General features: G+C 46.7%; 1 protein-coding gene across 23 annotated transcripts in view, besides 5 other annotated features; it reads right to left on the reverse strand.

The window, feature by feature from the left end:
• Positions 1-1,862: part of a non allelic homologous recombination region, noted in NCBI's record as "sub-region SSN3'-SSN6', recombines with sub-region SSN3-SSN6 within the WBS centromeric block B recombination region", that runs on past the window's edge. NCBI's record gives the evidence for it as "EXISTENCE:restriction fragment detection evidence [ECO:0001124][PMID:12796854]".
• Positions 1-24,794: part of a biological region, named in NCBI's record as "Williams-Beuren syndrome medial block B recombination region", that runs on past both edges of the window. NCBI's record gives its function as "recombination_partner: LOC106029311 | LOC106029313".
• Positions 1,862-6,367: a non allelic homologous recombination region, noted in NCBI's record as "sub-region SSN6'-SSN7', recombines with sub-region SSN6-SSN7 within the WBS centromeric block B recombination region". NCBI's record gives the evidence for it as "EXISTENCE:restriction fragment detection evidence [ECO:0001124][PMID:12796854]".
• The window catches only part of GTF2IRD2 (GTF2I repeat domain containing 2), a 55,455-nt gene continuing 36,514 nt past the window's right edge, over positions 5,854-24,794 (reverse strand). For 5 of the 23 annotated variants that reach the window (NR_170886.1, NR_170881.1, NM_001388083.1 and 2 more), the window contains 8 exons: positions 22,442-22,519; positions 20,599-20,655; positions 18,811-18,876; positions 16,637-16,714; positions 14,480-14,563; positions 13,001-13,184; positions 11,688-11,716; positions 5,854-7,968 (listed from right to left, as the gene is read on the reverse strand). Coding sequence is in view for 15 of the 23 variants with exons in the window: in NM_001388083.1 (NP_001375012.1) it covers positions 6,365-7,968; positions 11,688-11,716; positions 13,001-13,184; positions 14,480-14,563; positions 16,637-16,714; positions 18,811-18,876; positions 20,599-20,655; positions 22,442-22,519 (2,180 nt within the window). In the remaining 8 variants the exon portion in view is untranslated. Of the gene's footprint in view, positions 7,969-11,672; positions 11,717-13,000; positions 13,185-14,479; positions 14,564-16,636; positions 16,715-18,810; positions 18,893-20,598; positions 20,656-22,441; positions 22,520-24,794 lie in introns of all 23 variants that reach the window. The other 18 variants (NR_170885.1, NR_170887.1, NM_001388079.1 and 15 more) reach the window with 13 other exon arrangements.
• Positions 6,368-13,075: a non allelic homologous recombination region, noted in NCBI's record as "sub-region SSN7'-SSN9', recombines with sub-region SSN7-SSN9 within the WBS centromeric block B recombination region". NCBI's record gives the evidence for it as "EXISTENCE:restriction fragment detection evidence [ECO:0001124][PMID:12796854]".
• Positions 13,076-24,794: part of a non allelic homologous recombination region, noted in NCBI's record as "sub-region SSN9'-SSN11', recombines with sub-region SSN9-SSN11 within the WBS centromeric block B recombination region", that runs on past the window's edge. NCBI's record gives the evidence for it as "EXISTENCE:restriction fragment detection evidence [ECO:0001124][PMID:12796854]".

Genomic DNA, 24,794 nt, shown 5'->3' on the forward strand with positions numbered 1-24,794 from the left:
CCCAAAATGCAGACACGAAGGTGCAAAGTGAAGCTGCCAGTCTTGCAAAAGATGTAACTTGTCACGAAGGCCACGAGTGGCAGGGAGAGCTGTCCCACATTTGCGGAAGTGGCTATGTGAGGACGGGGGAGGCGGGTCCCTTAGAGATAAGAGACAATCATAAGGGGAGATATCAGAGAAAATCGTAAGGGGAGCAGATGGTTGTCAAGAGAATAGGCTGACCATCGAAGGACTGGCAGAAGCTTTCAGAAAACCACTGGACGGCTGGGCACAGTGGCTTAGGCCTGTAATCCCAGCACTTTGGGAGGCTGACGCGGGTGAATCACTTGAGGTCAGGAGTTCCAGACCAGCCTGGCCAACATGGTGAAACCCCATCTCTACAGAAAATATAAAAATTAGCCAGGCGTGGTGGCACAAGCCTAGAATCCCAGCTACTTGGGAGGCTGAGGCAGGCGAATGGCTTGAACCCAGGAGTCAGAGGCTGCAGTGAGTCGAGAGTGTTCCACTGCACTCCAGCCTGGGTGACAGTGCAAGACTCCTTCCAAAAAAAAAAAAAGAAGAAAAAAGAAAACCACTGCAGCTCTAAACTAGTTCTGCATTTTTGCCGAACCTGGTTTGCTGGAAAAGCCCAGCACCAAAGGCTATCATACAAAGCTGTGGGAAATTGAATCACCAACCTCACCCCTTCTGCTTGTTCAGTTGCAGTTATAACCCTTTTATTAAATACAGTATAAAATACCACGCCTCTAATCCGAGTGCTCTGGGAGGCCAAGGTGGAAGGATTGCTTGGGGCAGGGAGTTCAAGACCAGCCTGGGCCACACGGTGAGACCCATCTAGACAAACATTTTTAAAAATTAGACAGGTGTGGTGGTGTGCACCTGTAGTCCCAGGCTGGGTGGGAGGATCGCTTGAGCCCAGGAGTTTGAGGCTGCAGTAAGCTGTGATCGTGCCACTGTACTTCAGCCTGGGTGACAGAGCAAGACCCTGTCTCTAAAAAAAAAACAAATTAAGGCCAGCCACAATGTTTCACGCCTGTAATCCCAGCACTTTGGGAGGCCGAGGCAGGCGGATGACTTGAGGCCAGGAGTTCGAGACCAGCTTGGCCAACATGGTGAAAGCTTGTCTCTGCTAAAAATACAACAACAACAACAAAATTAGCCGGGTGTGGTGGTACACGTCTGTAATCCCAGGTACTCAGGAGGCTGAGGCGGAAGAATCACTTGAACCCGGGAGGCAGAGGTTACAGTGAGCCGAGATCACGCCACCACACTCCAGCCTGGGCGACAGAGCATGACTCTGTCTCAAAAATAAATAAATAAATAAATAAAAATAAAAAAATACATACATATAAAAAAGAAGAGAAAATACTTATTTTCATGATTGTTTCATTTTTTTCCAAGCTGAGGTCCTGACCAAATGTTTCCCCGTGGTTTTTGTATATTTCTGATCCCCTTAAAGTGGCCCTTGCAGCGTGCTGGGGAGGAGGCCTCTCGGTGGGTGGGTGATTGGGAAGCCACGCCCACAGGGAAGGGAGAAAAAAACTGAAGTTGCCTGCTCTAAGGGCTGCACCTCTGTTTAGCCAACAATTTTCTTGAGGCCAGTCATAGTGCTGGGCTCATTCCATCATCTCCAGTTCTGAGACCAACACTGTCTGGTAGGTGTTTTATGGATGAGGAAACCAAAGCTCATAAAATTAATTAAGTGGTTTGCTTATGAAATAATGCAAGAAAGCAACAGTGCTGGGAGGTGGAACCGGGTTTTTCTTTTCTTCTTCTTTTTTTTTTTTTTGATGGAGTTTCGCTCTTGTCACCCAGGTGGAGTACAATGGAGCGACCTCAGCTCACTGCAACCTCTGCCTCCCGGGTTCAAGTGATTCTCCTGCCTCAGCCTCCCGAGTAGCTGGGATTACAGGTGCCCGCCACCCTGCCCAGCTAATTTTTTGTATTTTTAGTAGAGATGAGGTTTCACCATGTTGGCCAGGCTGGTCTTGAACTCCTGACCTCAGGTAATCCGCCTGCCTTGGCCTTCCAAAGTGGTGGGATTACAGGCATGAGCCACTGCGGCTGGCCCAGGCTTTTCTTTTTGATTCTAAGGCCTTCCAGATCCAGTACTTTATCCTGACCCTGCAGAGCTCAGGATCTGTGGTTCAGGCCTGCGGCTCAGAGGAGGGAATACGGCACACAGGTACGTGCCAGGCCAAGTGTGAGGGGGTCTGGCTTCCAGGGCCCTCTGCAGACCCCTAGTCCCAGGGCCTGTGTTGGAGGAGAGATTGGCTCTTTCCTCTGCCCATCCTGGGATGAGAAGTCGGGGACTTGGGATAGATGCAGTGCAATCCCTGCCCCTGAAAATTGACAAAGACCCACCAAATCTAGCCCCTACTCCTAGGCTGGGCCCCTGCCCATCTCCCTGGACCACACCACTCTCAAGGGCTCTCGTTTGCAGACACCCCATTGCCCTACTAAAAACCTCTCCTGGCCAGGCTTGGTGGCTCACGCCTGTAATCCCAGCACTTTGGGAGGCTGAGTTGGGTGGATCACCTGAGGTCAGGAGTTCCAGATCAGCCTGGCCAACATGGTGAAACCCCGTCTCTACTAAAAATACAAAAATTAGCTGGGTGTGGTGGGGGGCGCCTGTAATCCCAGCTGCTCGGGAGGCTGAGGTAGGAGAATTGCTTGAACTCGGGAGGCAGAGGTTACAGTGAGCTGAGATCGTGCCACTGCGCTCCAGCCTGGGCAACCGAGCAAGACTCCGTCTCAAAAAAACAAACGAAAAACCTTTCCCAGCCATTCAGTCATTCCCACAGTCTCAACTCAGTCCTATGAGTGACAGTGCATGTCAGTGGCCATCATATCTCAAGCCATCCTGGTCCCAACACACATTCCTGGGGCCTTGGGAATTGATTCAAAGCAGAACAGCTTCATGAATGGTCCGGCCAACAGGAGGCAGCCTAGGCTGAGCCCTACTGTCCCCTCCCTATCATCTGATTGGTGGACCACCAGGGAGCCACACACATGACAGATGATGAGGGCAGAGGCTGCATGACAGATACCTGCTGGGTCTCCATGTCAGGCACAGTGGCTGCTTAGGAATGAAGCACATGGGCCAGGTGTCGTGGCTCACACCTGTGATCCCAGCACTTTGGGAGGCCAAGGCGGGTGGATCACTTGAGGTCAGGGGTTCAAGATCAGCCTGGCCAACATGGTGAAACCCCGTCTCTACTAAAAAATACAAAAATTATTCGGTTGTGGTGGCGCATGCCTGTAGTCCCAGCTACTCGGGAGGCTGAGGCACGAGAATCACTAGAACCCGAGAGGCGGAGGTTGCACTGGGCCAAGATCACACCACTGCACTCCAGCCTGGGCGACAGAGCGACACTCCATCTCAAAAACAAAAAGTGAAGCACATGGACTTTGGAGTCACATGGACCCTGGTTTGAATCCTGACAACTCCTATAATGGCTGCGTGACCTGGAGCGAGCCACTTAGCCACTCTGAGCTTCAGCTTCCCGTCTATGAAAGGGGGCTGCTCTGGTCCTGCTGCTCGGCCACACCTCTGATATGTGGTGTGAACGAGTGCTCACTTCCACCAAGACCTGGACTCCCCTCCAACTCCCGTTATAAACCAGCCTATCTGGGATTCCTTCTCCAAAAGAGCGCTGAGCTTGCCAGAGCCAGCTGTACCTGAAGTCAACGACAGGAACTGCCTGGAGTGGGGTCATTTCCCTGTGTCTAAGGATAGGCACCTGGGCTCCAACTGGGCTCCTGGCCTGGGGGTTGCTCTCTCTCTCCTGCACCCCCTGTCATTTTTATCAAAGTCCTATTCTCCATTGCTTCCTGAGTGGGTCATTAGGTGGAGATCCACAGCCTTCCTCCACGCTGGTCGCGTGAATTCCCCCAATCTGGAAAGTATTCACAATTTTGTGTCACTAATTCCAGTGACTAATAGAGATCACACACACACACACCTTCAAATGACAACCTGCCAGGAGAAAAATGCTATAAAGGGAAAGATATCACTTTGGGAAGCTGAGGCGAGTAGATCGCTTGAGCCTGGAAGTTTGAGACCAGCCTGGGCAACAAAGGGAGACCCTGTCTCTACAAAAAAAAAAAAAAAAAAAAAAAAAAAACCACAAAAAACTCCACAAAAATTAGCTGGGCATGGTAGCATGCACCTGTAGTCCCAGCTACTTGGAAGGCTGAGGTGGGAGGATCACTTGAACCCAGGAAGCAGAGGTTGCAGTAAGCCAAGGTCGCACCACTGCACTCCAGCCTGGGTGACAGAGCGAGCCGATTTCCTTGTTTCCAAAAATAAAAAAGGGAAAGATATTATTGGGTCAACAGAGAAAACTAGAGTATGAACAGTAAACTGGATAAAATAATTGCAACAACGTTCAATTTACTGAAGTTGGTAAAGGAAACGTTATTGTGTAAGAGAATATCCCTGTTCTCTGAAAATACTCACTGAAGTATTTAGGGGTAAATGATATACGTAACTTTCCCTTGAACGGTCCAGGAAAAAAATGAACATCCATTTATACACATATCATGGATACTCATAGACATTTGCTTATACACACTTACCATAGGTACTGATTATAGATACACATACACACATATGAGTGAGAGGGAGAAGGAGGGAAGGGGGTAGGGAGACAAAGTGATCCAATAATGAAACAAGGGTGAAATGTTAACAATTGAGAGTCTGGCTAAAGGGCATGTGAGTATTTTCCATACTATTTTTATTTTTGCAACTTTTCTTTTTTTTTTTTTTTGAGACAAAGTCTCACTCTGTCGCCCAGGCTGGAGTGCAATGGCACAATCTCGGCTCACTGCAACCTCTGTCTCCTGGGTTCAAGTGATTCTCCTGCCTCAGCCTCCTGAGTAGCTGGGATTACAGGCACGTGCCACCATACCCGGCAAATTTTTGTGTTTTTAGTAGAGACAGGGTTTCACCATGTTACCCAGGCTGGTCTCGAACTCCTGACCTCAAGTGATCCACCCACCTTGGCCTCCCAAAGTGCTGGGATTACAGGTGTGAGCCACATGCTTGGCCACAACTTTTCGGTAACTATTCATAGTAAAAAACAAACAAAAAAACCCCTCTAAACCTTAACTTACTTTGTCTAACTTTTATAGACAAAGTCTACGTTATTTGCTCTGGGGTTTTCCATTTTAAACCTGACCTTTCTGGCTCTGGGTTTTTCCATTTTAAACCTGACCTTTCTGGTTCCAGGTGAAGGCAGAGACAGATAACATAGGATTATTGTATGTCAGTATGTTTTCAACTATTTCTCCTGAAACTTGGAAACGTATTAGACCATGTGGGATACCACGCGGACGGGAACGGGGGATAAATGTGTGTTCATATATACTCCTCCACAAATATACATGTCTCAGGCTGGGCGCAGTGGCTCACGCCTGTAATTCCAGCACTTTGGGAGGCCAAGGCCGGCAGATCACTTGAGGTCAGGAGTTTGTGACCAGCCTGGCCAACATGGTGAAACCCTATCTTTACTAAAAATACAAAAATGAGCCGGGCGTGGTGGTGGGCACCTGTAACCCCGGCTACTCGGGAGGCTGAGGCAGGGGAATCACTTGAACCCCGGAGGCAGAGGCTGCAGTGAGCCCAGATCGCCCCATTGTACTCCAGCCTGGGTAACAGAGTGAGACTCCGCCTCAAAAAAAGAACCCCCAAAACCAAAAAGCAAATATACACGTCTCTCTCCCTATTTCTCTGTTGATTGATTTAAACTTCAAGATGCCAACTACAGTGCCTATCAGGGTGGCAGGCAGGTAATGTGAATGAATGAAACAAGCCAGGCATAAGAAAAGTCAACTACCAATAATACAATAAAACTTTCTTGATTTTTAATGAATAGTGAGGCATACAATGTAATATAAACAAGTATGATACTGCAGATTATATTTCTGATTCAAAGTGGAAAAAAAACTGAAAAAAAAAAAAGTTTAAGAACTCATTTTGTCAGCTGGGCACAGTGGTTCATGCCTGTAATCCCAGCACTTTGTGAGGTCGAGGCAGGTGGATCACCTGAGGTCAGGAGTTGGAGACCAGCCTGGCCAACATGGTGAAACCTCATCTCTACTAATACAAAAATTAGCCAGGCATGGTGGCGCACGCCTGTAGTCCCAGCTGCTCGGGAGGCTGAGGCAGGAGAATCGTTCGAACCCAGGAGCTGGAAGTTGCAGTAAGCCGAGATCACGCCACTGCACTCCAACCTGGGCGACAGAGCAAGACTCCATCTCAAAAAAGAAAAAAAAATTCATTTTGTCATCTCCCAATCCCTTGGGACTAGAAGACTCCAGCCTTTCCCACCATAGGGCCCTGCCAGGAGTTTTCTCTCCATCACGTTGCGATGTGGAGTACAGAATCCCACTGGGAATCCTTTAACTGGGAGCAGTATTTTGTTTTGCTCAGTTTCATAATGGAGAACAGCTGTTCGCAGATGTAGGTGCTCCCGAACATGGAAAGAATCTTTGCGCAATGGTGCTTGTATTTCGGGTAGCTACCCCAGAGGTACTTGTAGAATTCTGGTATTCCCACCTTGTCGTATTTCGTCTTCAGGACCGTGTTGCATTGCAGGTCGATAACCTCCATCTGGAGCTCCTCGTGCACACTGTCGATCTTCGTGGAGAACGGGGAGCTGAACAGAGTCAGTTCGCTTTCGTAGAGTTTGAAATCAGACAGCCTTTTCTGGAATTCGGTCTGGAGTTCCGCGATTTTGGGAATGTAGTTCAGGCCATCGCTTTCATTTCTGGAAGCCAATTTCAGGGTGGGAAAGTGGGCCAGATTATTCCTCGTCAAATGAGTCTCCCAGAGGCACAGTTTTGCTAGGAACGCCCGGATCAGGTCATACATCTGCGTGACGATTTGGGAGTGTCCTTGGAGAGAGATGTTCAAAGCGTTCAGATGCATCGTCATGTCAACCAAGAAGGCCAGGTCTCGGATCCAATCTATGGAGCTCAGTTGAGGCAGGGGTTTCCCTCTGGATGACATGAAGGAGTCGATTTCTTCCAAGGATTCGAAAAATCTCTTTAGCACGAGCCCGCGACTGAGCCACTTAATCTCCGTGTAGTACAGGAGGCTACCATACTGGCTGTCCAGCTCATAGAGCAAGGTTGTGAACTCACTGTGGTTCAGTCCCCGGGAGCATATCCAGTTCACGGACTTCACTACCACGTCCATGACGTGGTCCATCTTCAACTTCTGAGCACAGAGTGATTCCGGATGAATTATACAACAGATGGACTTCAGTTCCGCACCCTTGCAGAACGTCGCCACCCTGGACTTCAGTTTTGTGACAAGCCCGTTATTGGCATCCACCATCGCTGGGGTGCCAGTGGAGGCCACGCTTACTAATTTCGACCAGTCGATACAGAAGTTTTTCAGGCTTTTCTCAACACGCGAAAAGATCTCGTTGCCAGATTTTGTACCCGTCATGGGCACCGTGTCCAGAAGTTCTTCGGACACATCGAAATTCTCATCGACACCACGGATGAATATGGCCAACTGGGTGGTATTATTTATATCCGTGATCTCATCGATTGCGATAGAATATGCCACAAAAGACCTGATTTTTTCACGTAACTTCTCCCATAAGTTCCCAGCTAGGTCCTCTACAGGCTGCACGGGGGATTTCTGGGTTGGACTTGGGTTTGCAAACACTTGTTTTTGCTCGGGACACTCGGTGTCTGATGAGCCTAAGAGATACTTCCTGAGCCCTTTTTTCAGCTCGTGAAGCTTCTCGTCACGCATTCTTTCCATATACTGGTCATAATGCTTGCTGTGATTGGTTTGATAGTGGCGTCTTAGGTTATATTCTTTGGACACAGACATGCTTTGTTTGCATATGAGACATGTTGGAATATTCTGTACTTCCACGAAGAAATACGCTCTCTCCCACTTTTCTTGAAACACACGGCCCTCCTGGTCTATCTTGCGTTTTCCCACTTTTGACAGAGACAGGGAGACAAAGATATTTCACTTTTCTCTTATCACTACTATGAGGAAAACAACAGCAAATGCTTGATGACGCACGAGAGGGAGGAAGCGGGGCGGGGCAGGGCGTGGTTAACAGGAGGGTGACCCACCCTGCAGAGGGACGGCTGACCCTCAACTCCAGCAAACCGCTGCCAGGATGCCAGCTGTGGCCAGATCTTCAAGTTTTCTAAAGAAAACCTGAAGACTGAATTTTTGTTGTCGTTGTTGTTGAGACGGAGTTTTGCTCTGTCGCCCAGGCTGCAGTGCAGTGGCGCAATCTCGGCTCACTGCAACTTCTGCCTCCTGGGTTCAAGCGATTCTTCTGCCTCAGCCTCCTGAGTAGCTGTTATGACAGGTGCCTGCCACCACGCCCAGCTAATTTTTGTATTTTTAGTAGAGATGAGATTTCACCATGTTGTCCAGGCTGGTCTCGAACTCCTGACCTCAGGTGATCCGCCCACCTCAGCCTCCCAAAGTGCTGGGATTACAAGCATGAGCCACTGCACCCAGCCAGATCTTCAGGTTTTCTAAAGAAAACCTGAAGATTGACTTTTATGAAAGAGTGCCTGGTTTGTGGTGATAATGACTCATTGCAGCCTGGAACTCCCTGGGCTCAGGTGATCCTCCCACTTCAGCTCCCAGTTGCTGGGACTACAGGCATGCACCACACCGAGCTATCTTTTCTTTCTTTCTTTCTTTTCTTTTTTTCTTTTTCTTTTTTTTTTTTTTTTGTAGAGCTGGAGTCTTACCTTGTTGCCCAGGCTGGTCTGAAACCCCAGGCTCAAGCGATCCACCCGCCTTGGCCTCCCAAAGTGCTGGGATTACAGGAGCCACCGTGCCAGGCCTCATCCTTATTTTCAAAAGTACATGAGCCAAACAAAAGACACCTTTGATGAGGTTCAGCATGTAGCTGTGCTTGTTATGTCCAGTTTAAACAGGAATTATTTGATAATATGTTTGCATTTTCTTTTTAGAGACAGGGTCTTGTTCTGTCACCCAGGCTGGAGTGTAGTATTGCAATTATGGTTCTCTGCTGTCTCAAACTCCTGAGTTTAAGTGATCCTCCTGCTTTAGCCTGCCAAGTAGCTGGGGCTACAGGTGTGAGCCACTGTTTCCAGCTAATTTTTAAATTTTTTGTAGAGATGGGGTCTTGCTATGTTGCCCAGGCTGGTCTCAAACTCCTGGCCTCAAGCAATCCTCTTGCCTTGGCCTCCAAAAGTCCTGGGATTATAGGTGTGAGCATTTTAATATATTTTCTCATTTGATTCCCAAGAAAACTTTGTAATAACAGAGATGGGAATGAGCACAGAAAGGCATATGATTTTTACCTACTGTGAGTCTCAAATGACAAGGGTGACGGCCACAGAACCACACAAAACTCATTCGTATAAGTGTGTTCGAGTGTACAGGGGCTAGTGTTTTAGATTTAAAGAACCTGGCCACCCTGCAGGTAATCAAGGTATTTCCAGAGTACACACACATAAAAGTGCACCTTAAGAAAATGTAGGCCATGTACAGCGGCTCATGCCTATAATCCCAGCACTTTGGGAGGCTGAGGCAGGAGGATCGCTTGAAGCCAGAAGCTCAAGGCCAGCCTGGGAAACATAGTGAGACCCTGTCTCTACAAAAAAAAAAAAAAAAAAAAATTATCTGGGCATGGCAGTGCTGTCCCAGTTACTCGGGAGGTGAAGGTGGGAGAATCACCTGAGGGCAGGAGTTCCAGGCTGCAGTGAGCTATGATCATGCCACTGCACTCCAGCCTGGGTGACAGAGTGAGACCTTGTCTCTAAAAAACCCCAATAATAATACAATAAATAAATAAAGATATTATAAAAGATCAAAAAATCATTTAGCAATCAGATGCGTTTGGGAATAAAAATGGAGCATTTTAATAGGATACTTTGGTTTTCTTTTCTTTTCTTTTTTTTTTTTTTTGAGACAGAGTCTTGCTCTGTCACCAAACTGGAGTGCAGTGGCACGATCTCGGCTCACTGCAACCCCCGACTCCCTGGTTCAAGTGATTTTCCTGCCTCAGCCTCCCGAGTAGCTGGGATTATAGGCACGCGCCACCATGCCCGACTAATTTTTGTATTTCTAGTAGAGACGGAGTTTCACCACGTTGTACAGAAGGGTCTCCATCTCCTGACCTCATGATCCGCGCGCCTCGGCCTCCCAAAGTGCTGGGATTACAGGTGTGAGTCACCGCGCCCAGCCTACTTTGGTTTTCAAATGTTACATTAGGAGGTTCCCTGGTGACTCATGCTCGTGAGAACACCTCTCCGTATTCTACTTGACAGGATACTGACTCACTTGCAAGGGCTCCGGGGAAGACATTAAGAATATTTAACAGGGTGGGGGCGGGGGGAGGGAGAGCATCAGGAAGAATAGCTAATGCATGCTGGGCTTAATACCTAGGTGATGGGTTGATAGGTGCAGCAAACCACCATGGCACACGTTTACCTGTGTAACAAACCTGCACATCCTGCACATGGACCCTGGAACTTAAAATAAAAGTTGAAGGGGAAAAAAAAGAGAATATTTCAGAAGCAGAGTGCCTGGGCATTGCTCAATCAGAACAGATGCTGAGCCAGGTGCAGTGGCTTACATCTGTAATCCCAGCAGTTTGGGAGACCAAGGCGGGTGGATCACTTGAGGTCACGAGTTTGAGACCAGCCTGGCCAACATGGCTAAACCCTGTCTCTACTAAAAAATACAAAAAGTAGCTGGATGTGGCGGCACGCACCTGTAATCCCAGCTAATCGGAAGGCTGAGGCAGAGAATCGCTTGAACCCGGGAGGCGGAGGTTGCAGTGAGCCGAGATCTTGCCACTGCACTCCAGCCTGGGTGAGAGAGCGAGACTCTGTCTCAAAAAAAAAAAAAAAGAAAAAAAAAAGAACAGATGCTAGTCTCAGCACTGGAAGGGTTCTAGGGGCCTCTGCTGTGCCAGGTGGAACCCCTTTTGCTTCAGCACTGTAGGGAGGTCAAGCCACGGTCGGAGGGTACTAGGGTGGGACTGCATGGCCAGGCAGGCACTATTTACCAACTAACACAGAGGAGATCGGTACTGTGATCCTGAGTGCAGCTGTGCGGGTGGCCTCAGGGGAGCCCCCACCACAAAGCACACTTGAATAGTGTGCCACATCAGCCATGCGTGGTGGCTCATGCCCGTAATCCCAGCACTTTGGAAGGTGGAGGCGGGCAGATCCCTTGAGGTCAGAAGTTCAAGACCAGCCTGGCCAACATGGCAAAACCCCATCTCTACTAAAAATACAAAAATTAGCCAGGCGTGGTGGCACACGCCTATAGTCCCAGCTACTCGGGAGGCTGAGGCAGGAGAATCACTTGAACCCGGGAGGCGGAGGTTGTGTGGTGAGCCGAGATTGTGCCATTGCACTCTAGCCTGGGTGACAGAGCGAGACTCCGTCTCCAAAAAAAAAAAAAAGAGTGCGCCACATCACACGTCACACTCATGGTGTGATATAGATCACTCTCCTTCAGACTGGTTAATCAAACTCAAGTAACAGAGTTATCTAACTTTATCACATGCAGGAAAAATAAAGCATGCATCGAAGGCTGCATACTTGGGTCCCAGGCTCACGGAAGCAAAAACCCCGTGGTGAGCGCCCACCAAGACACTTCCCATGGCCCAACATTGCCGGAACGTTCTTCTCACCTGTAGAATACTCACCATTACTGAGCTCAAGCCCTGGAAGCGGCCTGAAGAGAAAGACACATTGATAAATGTGACAAGCTCACATTTCCTCTTTTGCCCACTTAGTTTTATTTTTTTTTAATTTTTACTTATTTATTTTTTTACAGAAGAATATTTATTTATTTGTTTGTTTTGTTTTTGTTTTTTTTGAGACAAGAGTCTCGCCGCGTCACCCAGGCTGGAGTGCAGTGGCGCGATCTCGGCTTAGCGCAACCTCCGCCTCCTGGGTTCAAGCCATTCTCCTGCCTCAGCCGCCTGAGTAGCTGGGATTACAGGTGCCCGCCACCACGCCCAGCTAATTTTTTGTATTTTTAGTTTCACCATGTTGGCCAGGCTACTCTTGAACTCCTGACATCAGGAGATCTACCTACCTTGGCCTCCCAAAGTGCTGGGATTACAGGCATGAGCCACTGCGTTGAGCCTTTTGTTTTTGTTTTTTTTGAGACGGAGTCTCACTCCATCACCCAGGCTGGAGTGCAGTGGTGTCATCTGGGCTCACTGCAACCTCCACATTCCAGGTTCAAGTGATTCTCCTGAGTAGCTGGGATTACAGGCACGTACCACTACACCCAGCTAATGTTTATTTTTAGTAGAGATGGAGTTTCACCATGTTGGCCAGGCTGGTCTCAAACTCCTGACCTCAAATGATCCACCTGCCTCAGCCTCCTAAAATGCTGGGATTACAGGCCTGAGCCACCATGCCCGGCCTATTTATTTATGTTTTGAGATGGAGGCTCATTCTGCTGCCCAGGCTGGAGTGCAGTGGTGCCATCTCAGGTCACTGCAACCTCCACCTCCCAGGTTAAGTGATTCTCACGCCTCAGCCTCCTGAGTAGCTGGTATTAGAGGCGCACGCCACCACACCCGACTAATGTTTGTATTTTCAGTAGCAACGGGGTTTCACCATGTTGGCCAGGCTTGCCTCATACTCCTGACCTCAGGCGATCTGGCCCGCCTCAGCCTCCCAAAGTGCTGGGATTACAGGCGTGAGCCACCGTGCCTGGCCCCACTTAGTTTTATTGGACAAATTTTTGCAGAGTATCAACTCTACGCTAGGTGCTGTGTGAGCTAAAACTGGGACGGGCTGCCCATGATCACCGAGGAACAGGGACATGGACACATCTCAAGGAAGCAGAAGATGATGAAGTCAGTGTGAGAGGCAGCATGGCCCAGCGGTCAGCTGCGGGAACAAACCCCCAGCCCAAGTCATGGGACAGACATTCCTGGGCAGCCACATGCCCACCTCGGGCAAGTCAGAGTCTCCAGATTCCTTCTCTTGACTCACTTACCTGATGACTGTGAATTTGATAAACTCAGCTGCCTCCAAGATCCTCCTCATGGAACTGATTTCCAGATAGCCGGGGGCCTTGAATACCACCCCCGGGGGCATGCCATCAATCACCACACAGCCAGGGTTGAATGTGATCTTCCTGTAGGGAACTTTCACAGGGAAATCCACGCCAATTGCTTCACCTGTGACGGGATGAGCAGCATAAAACCAGCTGAGTTTGGCTGGGCACGGTGGCTCACACCTGTAATCCCAGCCCTCTGGGAGACTGAGGCGGGTGAATCACTTGAGGCCAGGAGTTCGAGACCAGCCTGGCTAACATGGTGAAACCCTGTCTCTACTAAAAATACAAAAATTAGCTGGGCGTGGTGGCGCATGCCTGTAATCCCAGCCACATGGGAGGGACCCAGGAGGCAGAAGTTGCAGTGAGCCGAGATCGCCCCACTGCACTCCAGCCTGAGAGACAGAGCGAGACCCTGCCTCAAAACAAAACACAAAACAAAACAACAAATTAAAAAAACAACAACACAAATAAAACTAGCTGAGTTTGTTCCTTACGTTTCCTAAACCAGGATTTTTCTTTAATGTCAGGATTTAGAAGCATCAAATGACAATACTTATGATCAGTCATTTTATTTTCCAGTGCTACTATGATGTGTGAATATAATTTTAAAAGTTTGGAATTAGCATGGGTAGTAGGCAAACTCAGTTCCTCCATCCATTACACAGGGTTATCATGGCGCCTACCTGAAAGGTTTTATGTGAGGATTAAATGATCAAACACATGTTGAGCACAAAAAATAATATACAAGGTAAGCACTCAGTAAAACAAAGATAGCTATTATTATTATTATTGTAATTAGTCAATGATACCATGCAAAAGCTCTTCTGTAAAAAGACATATTGACTAATTTTTATCATAGCTCTTTCACAAAAAGATCAATTTCTTTTTTTTTTTTTTTTTTTGAGACAGGGTCTCACTCTGTCGCCCAGGCTGGAGTGCAATAGCGCGATCTAAGCTCACTGCAACCTCTGCCTCCCAGTTACAACCGATTCTCGTGCCTCAGCCTCCTGAGTAGCTGGGATTACAGGTGTGCGCCACCACACCCGGCTAATTTTTTTGTATTTTTAGTAGAGATGGGATTTTGCCATGTTGGCCAGGCTGGACTTGAACTCCTGGCCTCAAGTGATCCACACACCTTGGCCTCCCAAAGTGCTGGGATTAAAAGTGTGAACCACTGCGCCCAGCCAAGATCAAATTCTTATAAGATAAAGTTTTGTTTTTTTCCTTTTGTAGACCTGGGGTGTCACTTTGCTGCCCAGGCTGGTCTCAAACTCCTGGGCTCAAGTGATTCTCTAGCCTTAGCCTCCTAAAGTGCTAGGATTACAGGTATGAGCCAATGCACCTGGCCAAGTATTCTTTTAAAAAGAAGTATTTTAGGTATATGAATTCTGGATATAAAAAGATATAAAAACTTACCAAATTTTCGGCTAAAGAGGTCATTAACTTGTTCTCTTAGCTGTTTAATCTTTTCAATGCTTGATAATCTTTCCTTCTCATTATCTAAAAATAATTAAACAAATAAACAAACCAAGGTTATTAATGTATTTTCTCCCAAGAAAGCTGTTGGGAGAAATGCCTGTTAGCACCCGAGAAAGTGCTTTACCTGGATTGTTATTCAGTCTACTTTTAGCAATAATTAAGCATCTTGGAAATTTGGAAATGGAAGCCATTACAGACAATAGAGAATTTTCCAAATTATAACCCTATATAAACATACTACATACTACTTTTAAGGAATATTTTCAATATCATACAAGACAAGGATGTTTAGGGCCAGGCGCGGTGGCTCACGCCTGTAATCCCAGCACTTTGGGAGGCCGAGGCAGGTGGATCACGAGGTCAGGAGATTGAGACCATCCTGGCTAACATGGTGAAACCCCGTTTCTACTAAAAATACAAAAATTTAGCCGGGCATGGTGGCAGGCGCCTGTAGTCCCAGCTACTCGGGAGGCTGAGGCAGGAGAATGGCGTGAACCCAGGAGGCGGAGCTTGCAGTGAGCCGAGATCGCGCCACTGCACTCCAGCCTGGGTGACAGAGCAAGACTCCGTCTCAAAAAAAAAAAAAAAAAAAAAAAGACAAGGATGTTTACTTTCACCACCACTTTTCGGCCTTAAAATAGAAATCTTAGCCAATGAAATATGACAAGTAAAAGGAATAAGAGGTACTAGGATTAGAAGGTAAGGTATATTTTTATTTTCTTTCCTTTTTTTCCTCTCTTTTTTTGTTTGTTTGTTTTGTTTTGTTTTGTTTTGAGGCTGAGTTTTGCTCTTGTCACCCAGGCTGGAGTACAATGGTACAATCTTGGCTCACTGCAAACTCCTGGGTTCAAGCAATTCACTGCACCCCTCCTGGGTTCAAGCAATTCTCCTGCCTCAGCCTCCCAAGTAGCTGGGATTACAGGCACCCACCACCACACCAGCTGATTTTTGTATTTTTAGTAAAGATGGGGTTTCACCATGTTGGCCAGGCTGGTCTCGAACTCCTGACCTCAGGTGATCCACCTGCCTCAGCCTCCCAAAGTGCTGGGATTACAGGTGTGAGCCACCGCACCCGGTCTGTTTTTCTTTTCTTTTTGTTTTTTAGAGACAGAGTCTCACTGTGCTGTGCAGGCTGGTCTCAAACTCCTGGGCTCAAGTGATCCTCCTGCCTCAGCTTCCCAAAGTGCTGAGATTACAGGCACATGCCACCATGCCTGGTCCTTTTTTTTTGTTTTTATTTTTTAGATATTTTTCAACACTTTAAAACTTTATTTACTTTTGAATAACTAAAGCAATCACATGGCTCAACATTCAAGAGGAGTAATATACAGAAACATCTCAAACGTCTCTCTCCTATCCCTATCTCAGCGGTCAGTTTCCTTCCCTGGAGGAACTATGTAATTAGATTCTCTTGTATCTTTCCAGATATATTTTACATACACATATTCAGAAAAGAAGATTATTATTATTATTATTATTTATTTTTTTGAGACAGAGTCTCGCTCTGTCACCCAGGCTGGAGTGCAGTGGTGTGATCTCCGCTCACTGCAAGCTCCACCTCCCAGGTTCACGCCATTCTTCAGCCTCAGCCTCCCGAGTAGCTGGGACTACAGGTGCTCGCCACCACACCCGGCTAATTTTTTTGTATTTTTAGTAGAGACAGGGTTTCACCGTGTTATCCAGGATGGTCTCGATCTCCTGACCTCGTGATCTGCCCGTCTTAGCCTCCCAAAGTGCTGGGATTACAGGCGTAAGCCACCGTGCCCGGCCAGAAGATTGTTAATGATGAGCAACAAAACATTTCACCTCTGTGGCCAATTCCAATTCAACCATAGCTGGTGCTCCGTGCTGCCTGCTCTGAGATGCATTTTCCAGGTAATGCCCGGGCTTGTCCAGGAGAAGCAAAATATCCGATTAATAATGTCTGATGTGAGCAAGATGCTCGTTGTGTAGCAACTTGCAGAATATTTTATATTCCCGAAATGTCATTTCTTAGCTATCAGGGTGAACTAAGTGAAAAATGACAGGTCCAAGAGACCAGCCTATGTCAAAAAATAATTAAGACAAAAGGAAAAATGTAACATTAGTCCATACCTGGAACAGTCACTTGAACGATGTTAAGATCTTCAACACCTGCTGCAGAATTTGTAACACTGGATGAATTTGTGTTTCCTTAAAACAGAAGTTGAAGTTTAGAATTTACCAAGAATAAGACCAATTCTCCTTTAAATATGTCTAAGTGCTGCTTTGATCAGAAGCCCAGACTGAATTTTTTTTTCTTTTTTTTTTTTTTTTTGAGACAGGTTCTTACTCTGTCATTCAGGCTGGAGTGCAGTGGTGTGATCCTAGCTCACTGCATCCTCGACCTCCCACGGTCAAGTGATCCTCCCACCTCAGCCTTGTGAGTAGCTGGGACCACAGACATGCACCATCATGCTTGGCTAATTTTTTTTTTTTTTTTTGAGACTGAGTCTATCACCCAGGCTGGAGTGCAGTGGTGCGATCTCGGCTCACTGCAACCTTTGCCTCCCAGGTTCAAGTGATTCTCGTGCCTCAGCCTCCTGAGTAGCTGGGATTACAGACACCCACCACCATGCCCAGTTAATAATTGTATTTTTTTTTTAGTAGAGACGGAGTTTCACCGTGTTGGTCATGCTGGTTGAGAACTCCTGACCTCAAGTGATTCACCTACCTGGGCCTCCCAAAGTGCTGGGATTACAGGCGTGAGCCACCACGCCCGGCTCTAATTTTTGTATTTTTAGTAGAGACAGAGTTTCGCCATGTTGGCCAGGCTGGTCTTGAACTCCTGGCCTCAAGGGATTCACCCACCTGGGTCTCCCAAAGTGCTGGGATTACAGGTGTGAGCCACCCACCACGCCAGCCTTAAATCACACTTTCAACTTCACTTCCTTTAGATACTTGCACTTCAACTGAGTTCACCGGCTGCAGGCCTGCGGAGTTACCTTTGATATTTATCTGTCCACTCCAGTAGCAAAGGGGCTATGTCTGAGTGAATCGTCCTTTTCTTTCCATTCTCCCCCCTCATGTACCCTCAACCCTTCATTCTTTCCTCACGTGAACACAGCACAGTTGAGGCCCAGTTGTGGGTCAGTGCTAACGTGCAAGACTTAAAAAAAAATTTTTTTTTAATTTTTATTTTTAGAGATGGAGTCTTGCTCTGTTGACCATGCTGGAATGCAGGGGCATAATCACAGCTCACTGCAGCCTCAAAATCCTGGGCTCAAGCGATCCTCCCACCTCAGCCTCCCAAGTAGCTGAGACTACAGATGCATGCCACCATGCATGGCTGATATTTTTGTTAGTTTGTTTCGAGGCAGGATCTCACTCCCATCACCCAGGCTGGAGTATTGTGGCACAATTACGGCTCACTGCAGCCTCGACTTCCCTGGGCTCAGGTGATTGGCCCACCTCAGTCTCCCGAATAGCTGGGACTACAGGTGTGTGCCACCATGCCCTGCTAACTTTTTGTATTTTTAGTAGAGACAGGGTTTCACTATGCCCAATTTGGTCTCAAACACCTGGGATCAAGTGATCTGCCCACCTCAGCCTCCCAAAATGCTGGGATTACAGGCGTGAACCACTGTGCCTTGCCTAACTTTTTCTTAATGTTTACTTTTTGCAGAGATAGTCTCACTATGTTGCCCAGTCTGATCTAGAACTCCAGGGTTCAAATGATCTTCTTGCCTTGGCCTCACAAAGTGCTGGGAATACAAGCATGCACCATCATGCCTAGTTATTATTTTTCTTTTCTTTCTAATTTTTTTTTGCACAGCTAATTATGTTGTCTACAACACCTCAAAGCATTGGGCCCTAATGGGAATGGCTGCTCTATTATATATATACATTATACTACATTAGAGATTTCAATCTCTTCCCCACAATTTTTTTTTTTTTTTAGATGGAATCTCGCTCTGTCACCCAGGCTGCAGTACAGTGGTGAGATCTCAGCTCACTGCAACCTCCGCCTCTCAGGTTCAAGCGATCCTCCTGTCTCAGCCTCCCAAGTAGCTGGAAATACAGACATGCACCACCACGCCTGGCTAATTTTGTATTTTTAGTAGAGACAGGGTTTCGCCATGTTTCCCAGGCTGGTCTCAAACTCCTGGGCTCAAGCAATACACCTGCCTTGGCCTCCCAAGGTGCTGGGATTACAGGCTTGAGCCACTGAGCTCTGCCATCCTCCCTGCAATTAATCCTGTTAGAAAGAATGAAAACCATACTTGGCAATGGGGCTTTGGGCAACTAACCTTCGATTTTCACCTCGGCTTCAGGGTCCTCATTTGGTTCTTCTGAAGGGACCAGCGGAGTGGAATCTTGAAAAAAAAATGTCTAAAATGACATTCATTATTAAGTATTCTCCTCATATTCCAACACATTAATGCTCCTATACCAAAAAAGTAGCTTATCCTGGCATTTTAAATATATTTCATATATAAATAATATAAACATAATTTTAATTTTATAAGCAATAATAATAGGATAATAAACAGTAACTGGGCCGGGCACGGTGGCTCGCACCTGTAATCCCAGCACTTTTGGGAGGCCGAGGTGGGCGCATCACTTGAGGTCAGGAGTTGAAGACCAGCCTGGGCAACATGGTGAAACCCCAACTCTATTAAAAATACAAAAATTATCCAGGCGTGGTGGCGCACGCCTGTAATCCCAGCTACTCAGGAGGCTGAGGAGGGAGAATTGCTTCAGCCCGGGAGGTGGAGGCTGCAGTGAGCCAAGGTCGCGACACACTGCACTCCAGCCTGGGTGACAGGGTGAGATTCTGTCTCAAAAAAAAAAAAAAACAGAATCATTTTGGTAGTCCATGTGTCACTATCTCTCTAAGGCAGATATATACAACTAAAAGTAAGATCACATTGCCTGTAAATGGCAAAGATGTCCCACGCCTCTAGGTTTGGAAAGGAAATCTTTATTATTATTATTATTATTATTATCATTATTGAGACAGTCTCACTCTGTCACCCAGGCTGGAGTGGAATGGTGCGATTTCGGCTCACTGCAGCCTCCGCCTCCTAGTTTCAAGCAATCCTCGTGCCTCAGCCTCCCGAGTAGCTGGGATTACAGGTGCCTGCCACCACGCCTGGCTAATTTTTGTATTTTTAGTAGAGACAGGGTATCACCATGTTGGCCGGGCTGGTCTTGAACTCCTGACCTCAGGTGATCTGCCCACCTCAGCCTCCCAAAGTGCTGAGATTACAGGCATAAGCCACCATGCCTGGCCCTTTTTTAAAATTATTAATTTTATCTTGGACATACACAAACCACCGTAGGAATTTAGGCTTTATTCATATGATGCTCAAGATTTATATATGAATGGAGGGAAGTATTATCAAATTTTACTTCTAATGCAAGGATTTCCTAAAATACTATTCGACTCTGTCCAAAAGAATTATGTCATGCCATCCAAAAGACAAAGCAAGAAACAGCACCACTGCAAAGTTAACTTCCATATTCGGGTGCTTTAAGTAGAATCACTCACAGATCAGAAGCACAAGAAGTGATAGAGCCCTTCATGTTATATCTTAGGGCAAGAGCTCAACTATTCATAGTTTTCTGAGAAGACAGGCATGCCAGAAAGTCACCTTCCTTATTTTCCAACTTACATGTATAAAAGAGTATGTTCTCTGTAAAATACTATAAACTTTCAGCTGGGCATGGTGGCTTACGCCTGTAATCCCAGCACTATGGGAGGCAGAGGTGGACGGATCACTTGAGGTCAGGAGTTCAAGACCAGCCTGGACAACATGGTGAAATCCCGTCTCTACTAAAAATACAAAAATTAGCCGGGCGTGGTGGTACGCGCCTGTAATCGCAGCTACTCAGGAGGCTGAGGCACATGAATCGCTTGAACCCAGGAGGCAGAGGTTGTAGTGAGCCGAGATTGCGCCACTGCACTCCAGCCTGGGTGACAGAGCGAGACTCTGTCTCAAAAAAGAAAAAAAAAAGTATGTTCTTTGTAAAATACTATAAACTTCTATAAACTTTTCTTAAAAGAGAGAGAAAAAATGCTGCATTTTTCTAACCTTCCATTGGTAATTCCATTTCTATTACTTCATTGCTTGTGGAAGAAGGGTGGCTTCCTGAAAGAAAAATAAATAATATATAACAAAGGAGAAATACAAAAATGTAAAAAGAAATCACTGAATACAATGCAAACAAGTCAATACCCACACAGGAATACACCTGAAATACTTCTACCCCTTGAAATAAAACTGGCTGCGCGCGGTAGCTCACGCCTGTAATCTCAGCACTCTGGGAGGTGGAGGCGGGCAGATCACCTGAGGTCAGGAGTTCGAGACCAGCCTGGCCAACATGGTGAGACCCCTTCTCTACAAAAAAATACAAAAATCAACCGAGTGTGGTGGCACACGCCTGTAATCTCAGCTATTCTTGAGGCCGAGCCAGGAGAATCACTTGAACCTGGGAGGTGAAGGTTGCAGTGAGCCATGATCACGCCACTGCATTCCAGCCTGGGCGACAGAGCGAGACTCTGTCTAAAAAAAAACAAACAAAAAAAACATAAACCAATTAATTTCTCTGAGTTTCTCACATTCTGGATTTTATTGACTACATCCTTGTGGTGATGTTTTCATATGTGCCTGTATTCCATGCATCTCCTAAAAACTGCTGGTTAGATCTAAAGGCTGGATCAGACTTAGGTCTGATTGTTTTGTTTTGTTTTGTTGTTGTTTTGAGAGAGAGTCTCACTCCAGCACCCAGGCTGGAGTGCAGTGGTGTGATCACAGCTCGCTGCAGCCTTGACCTCCCAGACTCAAGCGATCTTCCCACCTCAGCCTCCCAAGTAGCTGGGGCTACAGGTGTGTGCCACCATGCCCGGCTACTTTTTGTATTTTTTGTAGAGACGGCGTCTCACCATGTTGCCCAGGCTGGTTTTGAACTCCTGGGCTCAAGTCATACACCTGCCTTGGCCTCCCAAAGTGCTGGGATTACAGGTATGAGACACTACACCTGGCCAGGTTTGATTTTTTTTTTTTTTTTGGAAGAATCCTTGACAAAGGTGGTGTGGTGTACTTCCTACTGGATACCGTCAGGAGACCAGTGACCAGTCAGTTCAGGAACTGTCAGTCAGGTCTGCCCATGATAAAGTCCCCATCAGACTTTTATAAAATGGTTTTAATGACCACTGACAATTATTGCCAAGATGCACTGCTTCATTAGGTGGTGCAAAATCATGACAGTCGTGACAATTTATGACTTCTTTTTAAAAGCCTTATGGGTCAGGTGTGGCGGCTCATGCCTGTAATCCCAGCATTTTGGGAGGCCAAGGTGAGTGGATCACCTGAGGTCAGGAGTTCGAGACCAGCCTGGCCAACATGGCGAAACCCCGTCTCTACTAATAATACAAAAAATTAGCCAGGCGTGGTGGCACACGCCTGTAATCCCAGCTCCTTGGGAGGCTGAGGCACAAGAATCATTTGAACCCAGGAGGCAGAGTTTGCAGTAAGTGGAAATAGTGCCACTGAACTCCAGCTTGGGCAACAGAGTGAGATTCTGTCTCAAAAAAAAAAAAGAGTATGTGGATTTAGCCCAGGCATGGTGGCTCACGCCTATAATCTCAGCACTTCTGGAGGCCAAGGCTGGAGGACTACTTAAGCCCAGGAGTTAGAGAACAGCTTGGGCAACAAGGTGAGACCTCATCTCTGTAAAAAAACAAACAAAAGAGTACGTGGATTTAGGCTAAATAGAATCTATTTTATAACTGTAGGATTATTTACTCTAAATGGCAGCATGCTAGATCCTAGGTAAACACACATGGGTGCTCGCCAGTTTTTCAGACAGGTAGTAATTAAAATCTTCCATCCCAAATAACTTTTGGGGAAGAAAATTATTATCAAACAGTATTACCTTGCATATTATATTGATAGTAATTAGGATCTTCTGATTCTTTCTTGACTGAGACAGCTTCTGCTTTCAGTGAAATGCCTTGGAATGTAATGGAAATGATAAAATTGTATGTTAGGTTAAGTTTGCCAACAAAGAAATACGACTAGCTAATATAAGTTGATTAATACAGCAATGTTACAATCAGCAAAAGAACTTGTAGCTCACTCACTATGAACAAATTTGACCTCTTGATACAAAAATAGAAATACTATAAATTAAAATAATATACATATAGAAAACATACATTTGTGTATTTATGTATGTTTATATAAAAATAATATCAATTGTAAAATCAATAGAAAAGGAAAGAAGGAAGGAGGGGACCGGGCACGGTGACTCACGCCTCCAATACCAGTACTTTGGGAGGCTGAGGCGGGCAGATCACTTGAGGTCAGGAGTTTGAGACCAACCTGGCTAACATGGTGAAACCCTGTCTCTACTAAAACTACAAAAATTAGCTGGGAGTGGTGGCGGACGCCTGTAGCCAGCCACATGGGAGGCTGAGGCAGGAGAATTGCTTGAACCCAGGAGGTGGAGGTTGCAGTGAGCTGAGATCGAGCCACTGCACTCCAGCTGGTTGATAAAGCGAGACTCCATCTCAAAAAAAAAAAAAAAAAAAAAGAAAGGAAGGAGAGGAGGATGAAGGAAGGCATCGTGAAGGCGGGAGAGCTTAGTTCTGATTCTAGTCCTAGTTTTGGGAGATTTTCCCCTTCAGGGTGGCTGAATATCCACGTGCATTTACATGAAATGCTGTGAAGATTCTTCTGTCATGAAGCCTGAACTGACATATATAACCATTTTTTTTTTTTTGAGACAGAGTCTCACTCTGTTGCCCAGGCTGGAGTGCAGTGGCATGATCTCGGCTCACTGCAACATCCACCTCCCAGGTTCAAGTGACCCTCCTGCCTCAGCCTCCCAAGTGGCCCACGCCACCATGCCTGGCTAATTTTTGTATTTTCAGTAAAGACGGGGTTTCACCATGTAGGCCGGGCCGGTCTCAAACTCCTGACCTCAGGTGATCCACCCACCCACCTTGGTCTCTCAAAGTGCTGGGATTACAGGCATAAGCCACCGTGCCCGGCTAGGCACTTATAATCTTAACTTACTCACTATAATGGAATGGATTTCAAAACCTGGAGAAGCTATATCAGTACAACCTAATGCCTTTATCAGAGAAGGGTGCGGTTGGCTGCAAAAATTAGCTCAAGACCTCTCCCATCCCAGGATGTACATCCCTTTGCAATGTGACTATCCCATGCTTCTTTTCTAGAAGTAAAGTCTGTTTCTCTGCCATTTTGTTATTATTTTTTGAGACAGAGTCTTGCTCTGTTGCCCAGTGGAGTGCAGTGGCATGATCATGGCTCACTGCAACCTCTGTCTCCTGGGCTCAAGCGATCCTCCTGTCTCAGCCTCCTGAGTAGCTGACTATAGGCATGCATCACCACGCCTGCCTAATTTTTGTATTTTTTGTAGACATGAGGTTTCACCATGTTACTCAGGCTGGTCTCGAACTCCTGGACTCAAGCAATTTGCCTGCCTTGGCCTCCCAAAATGTTGGGATTACAGCTGTAAACCACGGCGCCAGGCCATTCTCTGCCCTTTAAATCTGGCCCTGGCTGTGTGACTTGCTTTGGTCAATGGGACATCAGCCGATGGGATGCAAAGAGAGGCTTGAGAAGAGCTTGATCATCTGTGCCTGCTGCTTCTAGAACCTCATCACCATGGGAGCCAGCCTAGGGTGCCTCCAAAGGGTATGAGGCCACAAGGAGAGAGACCCTGATGTCCCAGCCGGGGCCTCAGACACACAGCCATCCGGCCCTTGCTGAGCCAGTCCAGCCAACACACAGAAATGTAGGAAAGACTAAATATTCCATTCCATTCCATTGGAGCCCTTCCCCTTCTCTTTCCAGCCCAGGCTGGAGTGCAATGGCATGATCTTGGCTCACTGCAGCCTCCACCTCCCAGGTTCAAGTGATTCTCCTGCCTCAGCCTCCCAAGTAGCTGGGACTACAGATGCGCACCACTACGCCTGGCTAATTTTTGTATGTTTAGTGGAGACAAGGTTTCACCACGTTGGCCAGGCTGGTCTCCAACTCCTGACCTCAGGTGATCCGCCTGCCTTGGCCTCCCAAAGTGCTGGGATTGCAGGCGTGAGCCACCACACCCAGCCTCATTTCAGGGGTACTTTTAAATACAGCAATAGATGACTGATACTAAAATGTACATGTAATTTAACCATGAATGTTTGTAATAGCAAAACAAAAAAACTGTGGCATAGCTTGGGGTTCATTGTTTAACATAATTTATAAGTTCT

This window comes from Homo sapiens, chromosome 7 (genome assembly GCF_000001405.40).
Source record: "Homo sapiens chromosome 7, GRCh38.p14 Primary Assembly".
In the NCBI taxonomy this organism is placed as follows: domain Eukaryota; kingdom Metazoa; phylum Chordata; class Mammalia; order Primates; family Hominidae; genus Homo; species Homo sapiens.